The sequence below is a fragment of the Homo sapiens genome, chromosome 20 (assembly GCF_000001405.40).
Source record: "Homo sapiens chromosome 20, GRCh38.p14 Primary Assembly".
NCBI classification, from domain to species: Eukaryota; Metazoa; Chordata; class Mammalia; order Primates; family Hominidae; genus Homo; species Homo sapiens.
The window spans coordinates 45,972,984-45,989,584 of NC_000020.11; the positions used below are offsets into that span (position 1 = coordinate 45,972,984).

A 16,601-nucleotide genomic window follows, 5' to 3' on the forward strand; every position below is an offset into this window, starting at 1 on the left:
AGACCCCATCTCTACAAAAAAAAGAAAAAAAAGAAAAATTAGCCAGGCATGGTGGCGCGTGCCTATAATCCCAGTTGCTCGGGAGGCTGAGGTGGGAGGATCGCTTGAGTCTGGGAGGTTGAGGCTGCAGCGAACCGTGATCACACCACTGCACTTCAGCCTGGGCGACAGAGCGAGACCCTCTTTCAAAAAATAAATAAATACAAGTCAACTACCTATCCTTTAAAAGTGGAGAAAGAAAAAAAATTTTAATTAAAAGTCAGCTGCCCTTAAGGTATGTCCTTCCTCCGGAAATGTCACCTTCTGTTTTAAGACTTTTAGCAGTTTGCAGTGGAAGAGCACAAGAGGGAGTAAGGCGCTCTGGTTTTTGTCCCTAAGTCTCTGTAGTTCCATAGGCTATTTTCCTTAATTGAAAGATACAAATTTTGGGGGAAAAAAATCTCAAAAAAACTCCTAAGCAGGCTGGGCGCGGTGGCTCACGCCTGTAATCTCAGCACTTTGGGAAGCTGAGTCGGGCGGATCACCTGAGGTTGGGAGTTTGAGACCAGCCTGATCAACATGGAGAAACCCCATCTGTACGAAAAATACAAAAGCAGCTGGGCGTGGTGGCGCATGCCGTAATCCCAGCTATTCAGGAGGCTGAGCCAGGACAATAGCTTGAACCCGGGAGGCAGAGGTTGCGGTGAGCCGAGATCACGCCATTGCCTTCCAGCCTGGGGAACAACAGCGGAAACTCTTGTCTCAAACAAACAAACAAAAAGTCCTAAGGAGAAGACCTATTAATAAGGAGAAAAGGTCCGGGCTCGGTGGGTCACACCTGTAATAACCAGCACTTTGGGAGGCTGAGGCCGGTGGATCACTTGAGGTCAGGAGTTCGAGACCAGCCTGGCCAACATGGTGAAACTGTCTCTACTAAAAATACAAAATTTCACTGGGTGTGGTGGCGCGCGCCTGTAGTCCCAGCTACTCGAGAGGCTGAGGCAGGAGAATCGCTTGAAGCCCAGAGGCGGAGGTTGCCGAGATTGTGCCATTGCGACAAGAGAGAAACTCCGCTTCAAAAAATAAATAAATAAATAAAAATAAAAAGGACAAAGGGTGCTTTGAGCTGTTATTTGTGTGCACTTGTGTATGAGGGGATTCATCTGGTCCTTTTCTTAGGTAAAGTTTTCTTTCCTAGGTTTCCCTTTTGGGTTGAGGGAATGGAACAGGAGGCCTCTGGATAGGTTAGGACCCTCATCCCCTATCCCTTGCAACCAGCAGGACCAGGCCCCAGAGCAGCTCTGAAGAGCTAGGTCAGCACTGGCATGATGACATGTTGGTTTTACTATCTCCAGGCAGTTTTCCCGTGTGGACCCCATTCCTCAGCCCTACAGAAGCATCTGCCCCCTCATGCCAGTAGGGTAGTAGGGTGCATCCTACATCTGACCAAGTCACCTCTCCCAAGTTTGGGGTACTCCGAAGTAGCCCCACAGTACCCTCATTCCCTTCCCCACTAAGACTGAAGCCTCCTAGGAGGTAGAGTCTGCAGTGAACTATGAGTGCGCCACTGCACTCTGGCTTTGGTGAGAGAGTGAGACCCTGTCTATTAAAAAGAAAAAAAAAAGACTCAACCTTAATCCTGGCCTTTGCCACAGCATCACAAGATTGCAGAATGTCATGGTACAGATGAAACAGACTCATCATGAAACCGAAGAGGAGCCCAAGGCCCAGAGGGGGAAAGCTAACAGCCCAAGGTCTCGGCTCCTTGGAAACAACATACCAGAACCCTTCCATCACAAAGACAAGCAGGCAAATCCTTGTATTCTGCCTGTGAATCCAGGGTTTGTTCCTCCAGAGAGTGCAGTCTAGTTCTGGTCTCAGCTTTATTTTTTTGTTTTCTCTTTAAAATTTGTTTTATCTTTTAAAAAATTGTTTATAAAGATGGGGACTAGCTATTTTGCCCAGGCTGGTCTCGAACTCCATGGCCCCAGCTTAGAGAGACTTATGGAAGCAGTGAAGGGGCTCTGGGTCAGAGGACATTAAAGTGGACCATTGAGAAAAATGTAGAAGAGCCAAGAGGGAAAGAGGAGGGAAGATGCCAGGCAGTGTGTGTGCTTTCTGAGTCATGTTTTGTTTTTTTTTTTAATTTGCTTCCACAGAGCTTTATTTCCATTTGGATCAAGGCTTGGAAGAAGGCTCCAGGGTAATTAAAAAGCTGCCTAGTGGCTGGAGGGAGAGGCTTAGGCAGAAGCCCTGATACTTTGGGAGGGGCCCTTAAGGCTCCCAGTCGTGCTTGAGGGTGGGTGAGCCTTTCCAAGAGAACCCCACCCAGGCCAGCCTGGGGGCCAGCCACCCTGGGAAGGTTGGTCAAGTGGTCGCCCATCTTGATGAGTTTCACTTCCTCATCTAAGAAGTGACTCTCTAGGAAGTCACAGAGATGGAGGTCTGTGCGGGCAGGACTCAGGGCTTGAAGATCCAAAAGCGGCCTGGTTCAGATTTTTCTCCAGGGCCATGGCGGCTTCCGTGGCATTCAGGGTTTTTAAAATTTATTTATTTATTATTATTTTTTTTTTGTCACCCAGGCTGGAGTGCAGTGGTGTGATCTCAGCTCACTGCAACATCTGCCTCCCAGGTTCAAGCGATCCACCTCAGCCTCCTTAGTAGCTGGGACTACAGGCGTGTGCCACCACACCTGGCTAATTTTTTTTGTATTTTTAGTAGAGATACAATTTCACCACGTTGGCCAGACTGGTCTTGAACTCCTGACCTCAACTGACCCACCTGCCTTGGCTTCCCAAAGTGCTGGGATTACAAGCATGAGCCACCACGTCCAGCCGTGTCCAGGGTCTTATCTAACTCAATTTGGGCCAGTTTCTGGATGTCCTGGAAGAGAATGCAGCCGCCATACTGGTTTTGCATCTTTAAGGCACCCTTGCGCTTCTCCTCGGCCAATTCGTGGAAGAAGTGACCCACGCCCTCCCAAGCCACATCGTCACAGTGTAAGTAGAAGCCCAGAGAGAGGCAGATGAGGAGGCCTGCAGGTGCAAATTGAGCAGGTGGTTCACGGCTGCCTCCACCTCAGTGGAATAATTCTGACGAATCTGGGAGCTCATGGGCTGGTAAGAAGGAGCTAACCACAAACAATGGTGTTGGCTGGACCCAGAAGCAGAAGGTGGCTAAAAAGATGGTCCCTGAGGTTGCAAGTGGAGAGGAGATTGATGGTGAGAGGCTGGAAGAGAGGAAGTCCCAGGATCTCTTCCGTCCAAACACTGTTGAAGCAAGACACAGATCCGTGGGACTGCCCAATGTGACTCTGCTGAGGAGTCATGGTATCTTAAGGAAACAGGAGTTGTTAAATCATCTTCCACTGTAGAGAGGAGGCGGCTGAGGCTCAGAGAGGGGAAGAGACTTTTCCAAGGTCATGCAGCCAGGAGGATGGAGCTGGTATATGGAACCAGGTCTGCCTCATTCCATAGTAATCATACACTTAGGCCGGGTGCGGTAGCTCACGTCTGTAATCCCAACACTTTGGGAGGCCAAGGCGGGAGGATCACTTGAGGTCAGGAGTTCAAGACCAGTCTGACCAACCTGGTGTCTACCACAAAATACAAAAATTAGCCAGGCATGGTGGCACATTGCCTGTAATCCCAACTACTTGGGAGGCTGAGGCAGGAGAATCGCTTTAACCTGGGAGGTGGAGGTTGCAGGGAGTTGAGATAGTGCCACTGCACTCTCGCCTGGGCGATAGAGACTCCATCTCAAAAATACAAAAACAAAAACAAAAGCAAAAAAAGAAATACCTTAAATTACTCTGTGCCGGTCACCATTCTAAGTGGTTTATTTACATTCATTTATTTATCCTCACAACCACCCTATGAACCTACGAAGTGGTTGTCATTATTATCTCCATTTTACATATGAGGAAACTGAGGCACAGAACAATAAAAGAATCTACCTAAGTAAAGGATGGAGCTAGGATTGAAAACTAAGCAATCTGTTAGGCTGGGTGCTGTGGCTCATGCCTGTAATCCCAGCACTTTGCGAGACCGAGGCAGGTGGATCACCAGAGGTCGGGAGTTGGAGACCAGCTTGACCAACATGGAGAAACCCCGTCTCTGCTAAAAATACAAAATTAGCCAGGCGTGGTGGCGCATGCCTATAGTCCTGGCTACTCGGGAGGCTGAGGCAGGAGAATTGCTTGAAAACCCAGGAGGCGGAGGTTGCGGTAAGCTGAGATCGCACCATTGCACCCCAGCCTGGGCAACAAGAATGAAACTCTGTCTCAAAAAAAAAATTATTAATACTTTTAAAGACTGAGCTGTTTAAGAATTTTTGGGGGAATGTTTCTAGCAGTGACTTTTTTTGGCCTTTTTAACATAATGATAGTGTAAAGACAGGAGCCTTACAACTTAGTCAAAGCATTTCATGTGCAGTCCTTCTTCTATCTCCTTAAAATATGTATTTATTTTACATACAGACTTTTACACTAACTATTGAAAAATAAAGTAGGATCTGCTACAGTTTCCCCTGAAAATTTATAAAAAGTGTTGAGATTGTTAGAAGGCAGTTTTTAATACAGGTGCACTACCCTAAAAGACTTGTCTATTGTCAATAAAGTATTTGTGAAATTATTATTTCTGTTCAGAAATACTATTTCTTAAATCTCCTGGGAATTTGTGGCATACTAAAGCACATTCAAAGTTCTAATGTGTTTATGAGCTCATTTTCAAAATAGTAAGTTTGTCATCTTTAAAATGAACGTAACTTGCTTCCTTGATTTCTGAAATGAATTAACTGAAGATTGCTATAGTAATCTTTATTTCATCTTTCTAGAGTTGTTGGCAATTTTTTTATACAACAGTGACCATTAGAGAAGGGGGGAAGGGATTTTGGGTGTGTATTTGTAGGTACTAAGGGATTTACTAAATATAGTAGAGCACTGTCACACTTGTTCAAGTAGTTTCAAACGTAGAAAATTAAGTATCAGAGGCAGGTATAGGGAGCAATGTAGTCTTTTTTTTTTCTTCAATTTTAAAAATTTTAAATTGTGGTAGAAGCAATGTATCCTTAAGGTGAAAAACCTACCTCAGTTACATGTGGTTTGTGTTTTCTGGATTAATCTGGATTTTATAATTAGAAATAAAAATGTAAGATTTTGAATCCACTTAATAATTTCTTGAAAATAATACAAGTCAGTGTAATAGAGAAGCATTCATATATTCAACACTGTAAGACAAAACAGCAGAGACCTTGGATTTGATAATTGATCTGATATCCTGGACAGTATTCATATGTACAGTGATAGGTATGTTTCTTTGGGGTTTTTTTGTGTGCATATGTGTGTAGTTTTATCGTTCTGAGTTGGTGACCAGTAAGTTCCATGTAGTGCTGGCACTTATTTAATAACTATTCATGATTTTGTTAATAACTTGTTACAGGATTCAGGCATATATTTTCAGCATAAGAAGCCAGACACACCAGCTTGTCATTGGAGATAATATATTAAGTGAGAAAAACATTCAGGAATCAGAACTTTAACATGTTAAAGTTAGTGCTAAACATGGTCATATTGGGTCTGAACCTATCCTAATATGTAACCATAAAGCTTGACTTTTGCATTGGAACTATGCTTTCATAAATAAAGGATATCCCATGGGATTGTAATTGTAATCCCATATTATCTGTAATTGTAATTCCCATATTATCTGAGAAGTAGTGTGACACCTTTCTTTTGTTGTTACATTAAGCTGAAAACATAATACTAATAGACGACTAACAGTTTGCTTATCAGGCACATCAACTAAGGCACCTCCCCCCATGCTAAGTTTCTCCTGGATATATGGAAGTTGGTTGTTTCCCAGTTTAAAAACTTGAACTAATATTACCTAAGAAAACCTGAGCCCATATTGTTTTTATTTTACTTAGCTAGAATCTCATAGCATGTTAAAGTCATACCTTATCCCCACTAAAAATAACTATGTCTATGTGAGAGGAATATTATGTGTGGGAGCTGTATTAAATACTATTATAGGTGTTACAGAATCTTTAAATAAATGGACGTGGACCAACCTTCCATCTAGTAGTGTACGATCTATATAGTGCATGTCAGTAGCACAAAATGCAGTCTTAGTTAGCATTAGCCTGTCTAATCTGAATAGTTTACTCAAAAGTACTTCTTTGTGTTAATTATTCAGCCATTGTTTTTAGATCTAGTTAATAGGTTCTATTTAATTTGCTGCAACATTTATTGAATGGGTGAGTGAAAGAACTGATGCATATTGGGAAATATCTTACCATTTTTTAAAGATAATGTTACATTAGGAAAAGAACACTTTTAAGGAATTTATAGCAGTGATGAAATGAATTCAGTCTATATCAGATACACCAAACTGTTGATGGTATTTAAATGTGACTGCAAGTTAGTATTTCTGTATATATTATTGATTACTGGTTTGTTTTTAGATATGTAAGTCTGTCCTAATCTACGGTTCACGTATTGACAGTTGCTCTGGTAATAATAGAATGTTAGTGATGATCACTTGGTGGATGTTGATTAAGTGCCTGTGTTTTGTTTTGTTTCCTCCTCTGGATACCAAATAGGTGTATGCTACTTTTTTGGTGAACTTATTTCTTGGAAGATTTGGTTATGCTATTCAGGGTTTTTATTCTTATGTTTTTCTTCTAAACTTAAGCAGCATCCTGCTGCTACCATATTAAAGCTCAAATTTAACTTTTGTGGAAAAATCAGCTAATTCAGGTAATCCAAATATTTGTGGAAAAACATCTGGGTAATTTATTGACCACATTAGTATTGTGTAGACAGCTTTGATTATTCCCATTGCATAGGTTTTTATTGTAGAATAGTCAACTTAATATAGATTCACTTTTAATTTACATGTATAAAGTAATACTCAATAAAAATTTTTTCATTTATTTAAAAAAAAGAAAACTAAGCAATCTGGCTCTAGACTCCATACTTTTAGATTGCTGTACCATTTCTCATCATAATGCTTGACTCTTAGGTGATATTTTGTCTTCTCCTGAGTCAGGCCTGGTGGTTACTATTTTCCCATTTTACAGATGAGGAAATTGAAGCCCAGAGAGGGGATTTGACTTGCTCAAGATCACAGAAATTTTCTGGTGTAATGGAAGGGGCTGTGAGCCCAGGCCAGATCTCCTGCAGTAGATAATAATCACACTAGCAGTTTTTAATTAATTTATTTATTTTTTTGAGACAGAGCATCGCTCTGTCGCCCAGGTTGGAGTGCAGTGGCGTAAACTCGGCTCACTGCAACCTCCGCCTCCCGGGTTTAAGTGATTCTCCTGCCTCAGCCTCCCAAGTAGCTGGGATTACAGGCACGCGCCACCACGCCCAGCTAATTTTTTTGAATTTTTAGTAGAGACGGGGTTTCACCATGTTGGTCAGGCTGGTCTCGAACTCCTGACCTCGTGATCCGCCCACCTCGGCCTCCCAAAGTGCTAGGATTACAGGAGCGAGCCACTGCGCCCGGCCACTAGCAGATTGTTTGTTTGTTTGTTTGTTTGTTTTTGGCTTTTTTGTTTTTTCTTTGAGACAGGGTCTCACTCTGTTACCCAGGCTGGAATGCAGTGGTGCAAACATGGGTCGCTGCAACCACTGCCTACCAGGCTTAAACAGTCCTCCCACCACAGCCTCCCAGGCAGCTGGGACTACAGGTACGCGCCATTACACCCAGCTAAATTGTTTTGTATTTTTTGTAGAGATGGGTTTTCCCCATATTACCCCGGCTGGGTGAATGTTTACTGGGTACTTACCAAGTATCAGGGGATGCATTCAGTGTTTTGTATGCATTTTTATTTTTATTTTGAGACAGGATCTGGCTCTGTTGCCCAGGCTGGGGTGCAGTGGCAGACCCTGGCTCACTGCAACCAGTCCTCCCAAGCTCAAGTGATCCTCCTACTTCAGCCTCCTGAGCAGCTGGGACTACAGGTGCACACCACCACACCTGGCAAAGTTTTGTATATTTTTTTGGTAGAGGTGGGGTTTCACCATGTTGCCCAGGCTGGTCTTTTTCTTTTTTAAGATGGAGTCTCGTTCTGTCGCCCAGGCTGGAGTGCAGTGGTGCAGTCTCGGCTCACTGCAGCCTCCGCCTCTCAGGCTCAGGCGATTCTCCTGCCTCAGCCTTCGAGTAGCTGGGATTACAGGCACGCACCACCATGCCCGGCTAATTTGTATTTTTAGTAGAGACGGGATTTTGCGGTGTTGGCCATGCTAGTCTCCTGACCTCAGGTGATCCACCCACCTCAGCCTCCCAAAGTGCTGGGATTACAGATGTGAGCTACCTTGCCCGGCCCTATGTGCATTTTTAAACTACAGTCACAACAGCCAGAGATATTAGATGCTCTCTGCATTCCCATGTTACGGATGAGGAACCTGAGGCCCCAGAGCAGTGACTGTCTGAGGTCATGTGCTTGATCGTCAGCAGAGGTAGGATTCAAACCCTGGCTTACTGACTCCCAGTCCAGTGCTCCTCATGTTGCACCAGATGCCCCGGAAGGGCAGCGGGGTTGAGAGTAGGCAGCCAGCAGGTGGGTCCGAGGGTTCATCTCTACCTGCTTTCTTCATGTCACTGCTGTCTATGGGTTTAGCTAACCCTGTTTTTAAAAACCTATTTATAGCTTAAGACTGTACCACCACTTGGGATAATGAGTCCCTTAAGTTGACTTCCCACGGTGTAAATTAAGATTTCCTTCTATTTGTCCTAAATCTTTCTCTTTCAGTATTGGAGGGGGATGGGGTAGTGGGGAAATGCCCTAGGGCCACAACACTTGGATTTAGAAAATAGGCTGAATGGGCTGGGTGCGGTGGCTCATGCCTGTAACCCCAGCACTTTGGGAGGCCAAGGTGGGTGGATCACCTGAGGTCAGAGTTTAAGACCAGCCTGGCCAACCTGGCGAAACCTCGTCTCTACTAAAAATACAAAAATTAGCTGGGCATAATGGCGGACGCCTGTAATCCCAGCTACTCGGGAGGCTGAGGCAGGAGAATTGCTTGAACTGGGGAGACAGAGGTTGCAGTGAGCCAAGATTGTGCCACTGCACTCCAGCCTGGGCCACAGAGCAAGACTCTGTCTCAAAATAAATAAATAAATAAAATAAAAGAAAAAGAAAATAGGCTGAAGTCCAAATAGTATTTGACTGTTTGTATGTGATGGTAATTCCTGACACCAGGCAGCAGGCGACATGTATGGAAACATCTCATCTGATCATTACAAAGACATAAAGGGTAGGCAGGGCCTGGATTTTTGTCTCCTTTAATCTGTCTTGTTTCCTGTGGTATCCTCACCATTGAGCACATTTTGGAGATACAGGTAGATACTAGATAGCTATTTGTTCTATGAATGAACCAATGAACCCTCATTTTATAGACAAGGAAACAAAGACCCAGAATATCAGGGGTCTAGCCAGGAAAACAAGACTTCTACCACTACTAGATGATTCCAAAGAGGGAATTTAGGCCAGATGAAGTGGTTCACGCCTGTAATCTCAGCGCTTTGGGAGACCAGGGTGAGAGGATCACTTGAGGTCAGGGGTTTGAGACCAGCCTAGGCAACATAGTGAGACCCTTGTCTGTACAAAAACATTGTTTTTTTTTTAATTAGCTGGGCATGGTGGCATGTGCCTGTAGTCCTAGCTATTGGGGAGGTTGTGGTGGGAGGATAGCTTGAGCCCAGGAGTTTGAGTCTGCAGTGAGCTATGACTGCGCCATTGCACTCCAGCCTGAGCAACAGAGCAAGACCCTGTCTCTGCCTCTAAACACATACACACAAGACACAACACAACACACAGAGGGAACTTAATGTGGAGAATTAGCTACAAAGTTGTTTTATGGGTAGAAATAGCAACCAGGGGAAGTTGAGGCAAACCTGAGATTAGCAACTTCATGAAGCTGCTACCTCACCCAGGGCTGGAAGTATTCATATCAAGGGAGGAGGTAGCATTACTGGAGACCAGCAACTGGGGCCACCCTGAGAGAAGCTGGAATCACAGCAGGTCTGTCTAGCAGGAGCTGAACCATGAAGGAGTCATTGCAACTGCTAAAGATCCCCCCACCCCATCCTTCCCGAAGACGAGAGAAATGGAGGAGAAAGACCCTGGCTTCTCCCTTCTTTCTCTCCAGTCTCTCACCAGGACTTCCCATTGGCCAATCCTAGCCAAAAGCCAGTTGGCAAGGGAGTCCAGGAAACATGGTTTGCAGGGATTAGCCTCTGCTGCACGGAGCAGAGCAGAAGGGCAGAGAATGGATTTGAGACAAACAGAAAAATTACCTGGCCCAAATTATCCCATACCTAGGAAGGATTGCATTGTGTATGCATTGTCAGGCAGTGCCCCTCCCCCAAGTCCATGTGACCTTTTTAGTCTCTTTATCTTTCTATGTCTGCCTTAAGTATCACCTCTTCCAGGAAGCCTTCTTCCCAGCAGAGCTGGTATTTCCCTTCAGCGCGTTCCCCTAGCATGCTCTGCCTACCTCTGTCACAGAACACACACCACCGTGAGATGCTGCCAGTTACCTGCCAGGCTCCTCGATGGACGGAGCCTCCCAAAGCCAGTCCTGAGTCTGGTTTGTTTCTCTGCTGAGCAGAAAATGATTGTTGAATGAGTCAGCTGTTGGAAGGATAACATGGGGCAAGGAACTCTAGAGTCAGACCAAACTGAGGGTCCACAAGTCTCAGTCTCCTCATCTGTAAAACGGGAACTTTGAGGAGTAAAAGAGAGAATGCGTGGCAGTGCAGTTAAGCTCATAGGCTCTGGAATCAGAACATCTGCAGTCAACCCCCAGCTCCGCTTGGAGTTACTTAACTTTCTACTCCTCTGTTTCTCTCTTATAAACTAGGGATGATATTAATATTTCATATGGTATCTGTGAGGATTAAATTAAACTGTGTGGAAAACAGTGCAAGTGCTTAATAAATGTACCTAGTATTATTATGTGTGGTGCCTAGTCACATGCCTGAACGTTGCATAGGTAAGAGGATATATATCAAACAGGGAACTTTCTTTCTTTCTTTCTTTTTTTGAGATGGAGTCTTGCTCTTGTCACCCAGGTTGGAGTGCAATGGTGCGAATACAGGCGTGAGCCACCGTGCCCGGCCTTTAATTTTTAATTAAAAAAAAATAGAGATGGGGGTTTCACTATGTTACCCAAGCTGGTCTTGAACTCCTGGCCTCAAGCAGTCCTCCAGCCTTGGCCTCTCAATGTGTTGGGATTACAGGTGTGAGCCACCGCACCTGGCCAGGATCTTGTCTTTCTTGTTGACCACTGTAGCCCCATTACCAAGCATAGTCACTGAAACGTAGTAGGTGCTTAGTCAATCTTTGGGGTTGTTTTTTAGGACAGGGTCTTGGTCTGTCACCCTGGCTAGGGTACAGTGGTACAAACATGGCTCAGTGTAGCCTTGACGTCCTGAGCTCAAGCGATCCTCCCACCTCAGCCTCCCCTGCTCCCAAGTAGCTGAGACCACAGGCCTGCACCACACGAATTTTTTTTTTTAATTTTTTTTTTTTTTTGAGACGGAGTCTCGCTCTGTCGCCCAGGCTGGAGTGCAGTGGCGCGATCTCGGCTCACTGCAAGCTCTGCCTCCCGGGTTCACGCCATTCACCTGCCTCAGCCTCCCGAGTAGCTGGGACTACAGGCGCCCGCCACCACGCCCGGCTAATTTTTTGTATTTTTAGTAGAGACGGGGTTTCACCGTGTTAGCCAGGATGGTCTCGATCTCCTGACCTCGTGATCCGCCCGCCTCGGCCTCCCAAAGTGCTGGGATTACAGGCGTGAGCCACCGCGCCTGGCCTTTTTTTAATTTTTATTTTGTAGTGACGAGGTCTCACCATGTTGCCTAGGCTGGTCCCTAACTTATGGACTCAAGCGATCTGCCTGCCTCAATCCCCCCAAGTGCTGGGATTACATATGTGTGCCACCACCCCTGGCTTCAATCAATCTTTTCTGGGCCATAGAACAATGGCTGAGTTTCATTTGATAACATCAGTCTGCCTGTGAGTCCAGTGTCTAGTTCTGTGACCTTCCCCTCTGTCCCAGGCACCACAGAGGATATTCGGCCTACACCACCAGCCCAACCCTGGCACTGAGGCCTCTCCAACAGGTCAAGGGACCACCCTGGGATTAAAGGTGGGGACTTTGGAGCCTGGGAGGAGGGGGCATGCATGGAAGCAGACAAGGGTCTAGAGCAAAGGACTAGCAAAGGAATCTAACACTTATTGAGCATCTACTGTGTGCCAAGTGCTGTACACACTTTATTGCATTTCATCCTTACAGCAGCCTGCAAAGCACAGATTGTTATGCCCACTTCAGAGGTGATGAAATGTGAGTTCCAGGGGTGAAGACACTCACCGAAGGTCATACAGAAATGAAGGAGCACAGTTGGATTTGAACTCCAGACTGTCTGACTCAACCCCCTGTTCTTTTTTCTTTCTTTTTTTTTTCTTTTGAGACAGAGTCTCGCTCTGTCTCCCAGGCAAGATCTTGGCTGTACAGTGGCAAGATCTTGGCTCACTGTAACCTCCACCTCCTGGGTTCAAGCAAGCACATCCAGCTTATTTTTGTATTTTTAGTAGAGACACCGCTTTAGCCAGGCTGGTCTCGAACTCCTGACCTCAAGTGGTCCACCTGCCTAGGCCTCCCAAAGTGCTAGGATTGCAGATATGAACCACTATGCCTGGTCCTCCCTGTTCTTTTCACTGTACCCAAGCTGCCTCCCAGAGGAAGGAGGAGGTAGGGGAATGGAAGGCAGGAGGAGGCAGGGGAATGGAAGCTGAGCCTCAAGCCATACGGGAAGCCATGAGAGCCAATGCTGAGGCCAGGCTCAGGCAGAATGACAGCTTGAGACCATGACTTTGACAGCTGTGCCGAGGTTGGCCTGAAAGCAAGTGGCTGGGGAAGACGAGCTGTGATTGTCAAGACAAGAGATAGCCAGGGGCTTCAGCAGGGCGCTGAGGAGGTGCTGGGCCCCGAACAGAATGTCCTTGAGCCCCGAACCCAACAGAACAAGCTCCCTACTTACTTGCTCTGTGACCTTAGCAAGTCACTCAATCATCTCAGTTGGGCGTCCTCACTTGTCACACAGAGTCACCACACATGCTGAGTTGCCAAGGGATGACATGAGACAATGCAAGGAGACAGAACTGGGTCAAGTCCAGGTGAGGACTCAATTACCAATTAATCTATGATCTGAGGCAAGTCACTTCACCTCTCTAAGCCTCAGTCTCCCTACCTAGCAAATGGGCACAGCTCCTGTCACACCAGTTTGCTGTGAAGATGTAGTGATTAAAGTATGGGCTCTGGAGTAGGTTTCCCTGGGTTCAAATCATGTTCCACCACCTTAAGTTGCTTGGTTCTTTTCTTTCTTTCTCTTTCTTTCTTTCTTTCTTTCTTTCTTTCTTTCTTTCTTTCTTTCTTTCTTTCTTTCTTCTTTTCTTTTTCTTTCTTTTCTTTCTTTCTTTCTTTCTTTCTTTCCTTCCTTCCTTCCTTCTTCCTTCCTTCCTTCCTCCCTCCCTCCTTCTCTCTTTCTTTCTTTCCCCTCTCTCTCTTTCTTTCTTTTTTTCAGACAGAGTCTCCCTCTGTCTCCCAGGCAGGAGTGCAGTGGCGCAATTTCAGCTCATTGCAACCTCCACCTCCTGGGTTCAAAGGTGATTCTCCTGCCTCAGCCTCCCATGTAGCTGGGATTACAGGCTCTCGCCACTGCGCTCAGCTGATTTTTTGTATTTTTTTTTTTTTTGTAGAGATGGGTTTTCGCCATGTTGGCCGGGCTGGTCTCGAACTCCTGACCTCAATTGATCCTCCCACCTCGGCCTCTCAAAGTGCTGGGATTATAGGTGTGAGCCATCAATCCCGGCAGTTCTTTTTTTTTAAGCCCCTTCCTGTCTAGGAATTGCTAGGTTTTTCTGTACCTTGGTTTCCTCCCCTGGAAAGTGGAGGGTGAAGATAAGCACACTTACTTCATGGAGATGTGATATTAAATGATCTCCTCACCAGGAAGAACGCAGAATGGCGTCTGGCACAGGTGAGCTCTCTGTCACTGAAATCATGAGCCCTGGGTCTAGCACCTAATAGTAACTAATGCTTGCTGCTTGATGGGCACCACTTTGGACACTTTACGCTTTGACTGTAATCCTCAAAGCAGTCCTATGAGCTAGGTAATATGACTGTCCCCATTTTATCCATGAGGAGCTGAGTTATTCTGATGTCCAATGACTTGCCAGAGGTCACACAGCAGTCAGGTCCCAGACCAGGATTTGAGCTCTGGCAGACTCTGTTATTTATTCATCCCTAATGAAGTCTTCACAAATGGTGCAATTAGGACGTCTACGTTATGTATGAACGTGTTTTGGAACCAGAAGAGATGTAAGTGGAGAATGCCTTCAAGGAGCCCTAAAGGCTGGGCGAGGAGGGTGGGGTGAAAGGATGGAGGGACCACTCTGTTCAGCTCCCGTTTGCTGCCAGCAGGGGGCACCCGCTGCCTCCACCAGGTCTCCCAGACCTGAACCAGGAGGCCGGGCTGGAGACCTGTCCAGTGGCCCATCCAGGCGGACCTTGGGGACCACGCGCAGGGGCTGCAGAGAGTGGCGGTGTTAGCCCGTGCAAAGCCAGGGGCATGCCAAGAGAGGTTTATCTCCCCAAGCGGGCTGCGGAGCTGCCTCAAACAGACCTTCCAAAAGATGCAGATGCTTCAGCCTCATCTGGCCCCTCCTCCCAGCAGAACCTTCTGGGTGGCCAGGCGCCATGGCTCAGGCCTCTAATCCCAACACTTTGGGAGGCCAGGAGTTCGAGACCAGCCTGGGCAACACAGGGAGACCCCCCCCCCCCCGTCTCTAAAAAAAAGTTAAAAAAAATTGCCGAGTATGGTGACGCGTGCCTGTAGTCCCAACTACTCCGGAGGCTGAGGTGGGAGGATTGCTTGAGCCTAGGAGGTCGAGGCTGCAGTGAGCTGTGATCGTGCCATTGCACGATCCAGCCAGGTGACAAAATGAGACAATGCCTCAAAAACAAAAAAATACATATATATATATGTATATGGGCTGGGCACACGTGGCTCACGACTGTAATCCCAGCACTTTGGGAGGCCGAGGAGGGCAGATCACTTGAGGTCAGGAGTTCGAGACCAGCCTGGCTAACATGATTATCTGTTCCTTGTGTACCCTCCAGAAATGTTTTTTGTTTGTTTTTTGAGACAGAGTCTTATTCTGTCACCCAGGCTGGAGTGCAGTGGTGCAGTCTCGGCTCACTGCAGCCTCTGCCTCCTGGGTTCGAGGGATTCTCGTGCCTCAGCCTCCCTAGTAGCTGGGATTACAGGCATGTGCCACCACGCCCGGTTAATTTTTGTATTTTTTAGAAGTGATGGGGTTTCACTGTGTTGCCCAAGCTGGTCTCAAAATCCTAGCCTCAAATGAACCACCCTTCTCAGCCTCCCAAAGTGCTGGGATTACAGGGGTGAGCCACCACACCTGGCCTAGAAATGTTTTAGGAATACACACAACTAATTTTGATTACCACTACTTTGAAAACATTTTGATCACCACAAAAGAAAACCTTGTATCAATTAAGCAATCTATCTTTATTTCCCCTCACACCAGGGTCATTTATTTTGTTTTGTTGGCCTTTTTTTTTTTTTTTGAGATGGTGTCTCACTCTGTCACCTAGGCTGGAATGCCATGATGCCATCTCAGCTCACTGCAACCTACACCTCCCAGATTTAAGCGCTTCTCTCACCTCAGCCTCCCGAGTAGCTGGGATTATAGGCACCCACCATCAAACCTGGCAAATTTTTGTATTTTGAGTACAGACAGGGTTTCATGATGTTTGCCAGGCTGATCTTGATCTCCTGACCTCAGGTGATCTGCCTGCCTCAGCCTCCCAAAGTTCTGGGATTACAGACGTGAGCCACCGTGCCCGGCCAACCATTTGTTTTTATGGAGCTAAATTTATTGATTTTTTTTTTTTTTTTGAGACAGAGATCTTGCTCTGTCACTCAGGCTGGAGTGCAGTGTTGTGATCATAGCTCACTGCAGCCTCGAACTCCTGGGCTCATGCTATCCTCCTGCCTCAGCCTCCTGAGTAGCTAGGACTACAGGTGCACACCACCACAACCAGTTTATTGATCTTTTTCATAATGGCCCGAAGATTTTGTGCCGTGCATGGGAATGCTTTTCTCACTTGATTATTAAAAGGCAAAGGAGGCCAGGCATGGTGGCTCATGCCTGTAATCTCAGCACTTTGGGAGGCTGAAGTGGGTGGATCACTTGAGGTCAGGAGTTCGAGACCAGCCTGACCACATGGTGAAATCTCATCTCTACTAAAAATACAAAATAGCCAGGCATGGTGGCACACGCCTGTTATCCCAGTTACTCGAGAGGCTGAAGCAGGAGAATCATTTGATCCCAGGAGACGGAGTTTGCAGTGAGCTGAGATCATGCCACTGCACTCCAGCCTGGGCAACAGAGTGAGACTCTGTCTCAAAAAAAAGCAATGGATTTGCAAATTATTATTAATGGTCAGTGAAATTTTAAAACCTGGGAACCACTGTTGTAGATCACCCTCCCTAGAATAGGAGTTCCTGGAAGTGTAGGGACCT

The 16,601-nt window shown here is 46.2% G+C and overlaps 1 pseudogene, besides 1 other annotated feature; it reads right to left on the reverse strand.

Annotated features, from left to right (window-relative positions):
* On the reverse strand, positions 2,134–3,285 carry FTLP1 (ferritin light chain pseudogene 1; annotated as a pseudogene).
* Positions 2,300–2,836: an enhancer, noted in NCBI's record as "H3K27ac-H3K4me1 hESC enhancer chr20:44603922-44604458 (GRCh37/hg19 assembly coordinates)". NCBI's record gives its function as "activates a minimal SCP1, AML or CMV promoter by ChIP-STARR-seq in primed H9 embryonic stem cells {active_cell/tissue: H9 hESC(primed)}" and the evidence as "EXISTENCE:reporter gene assay evidence [ECO:0000049][PMID:30033119]".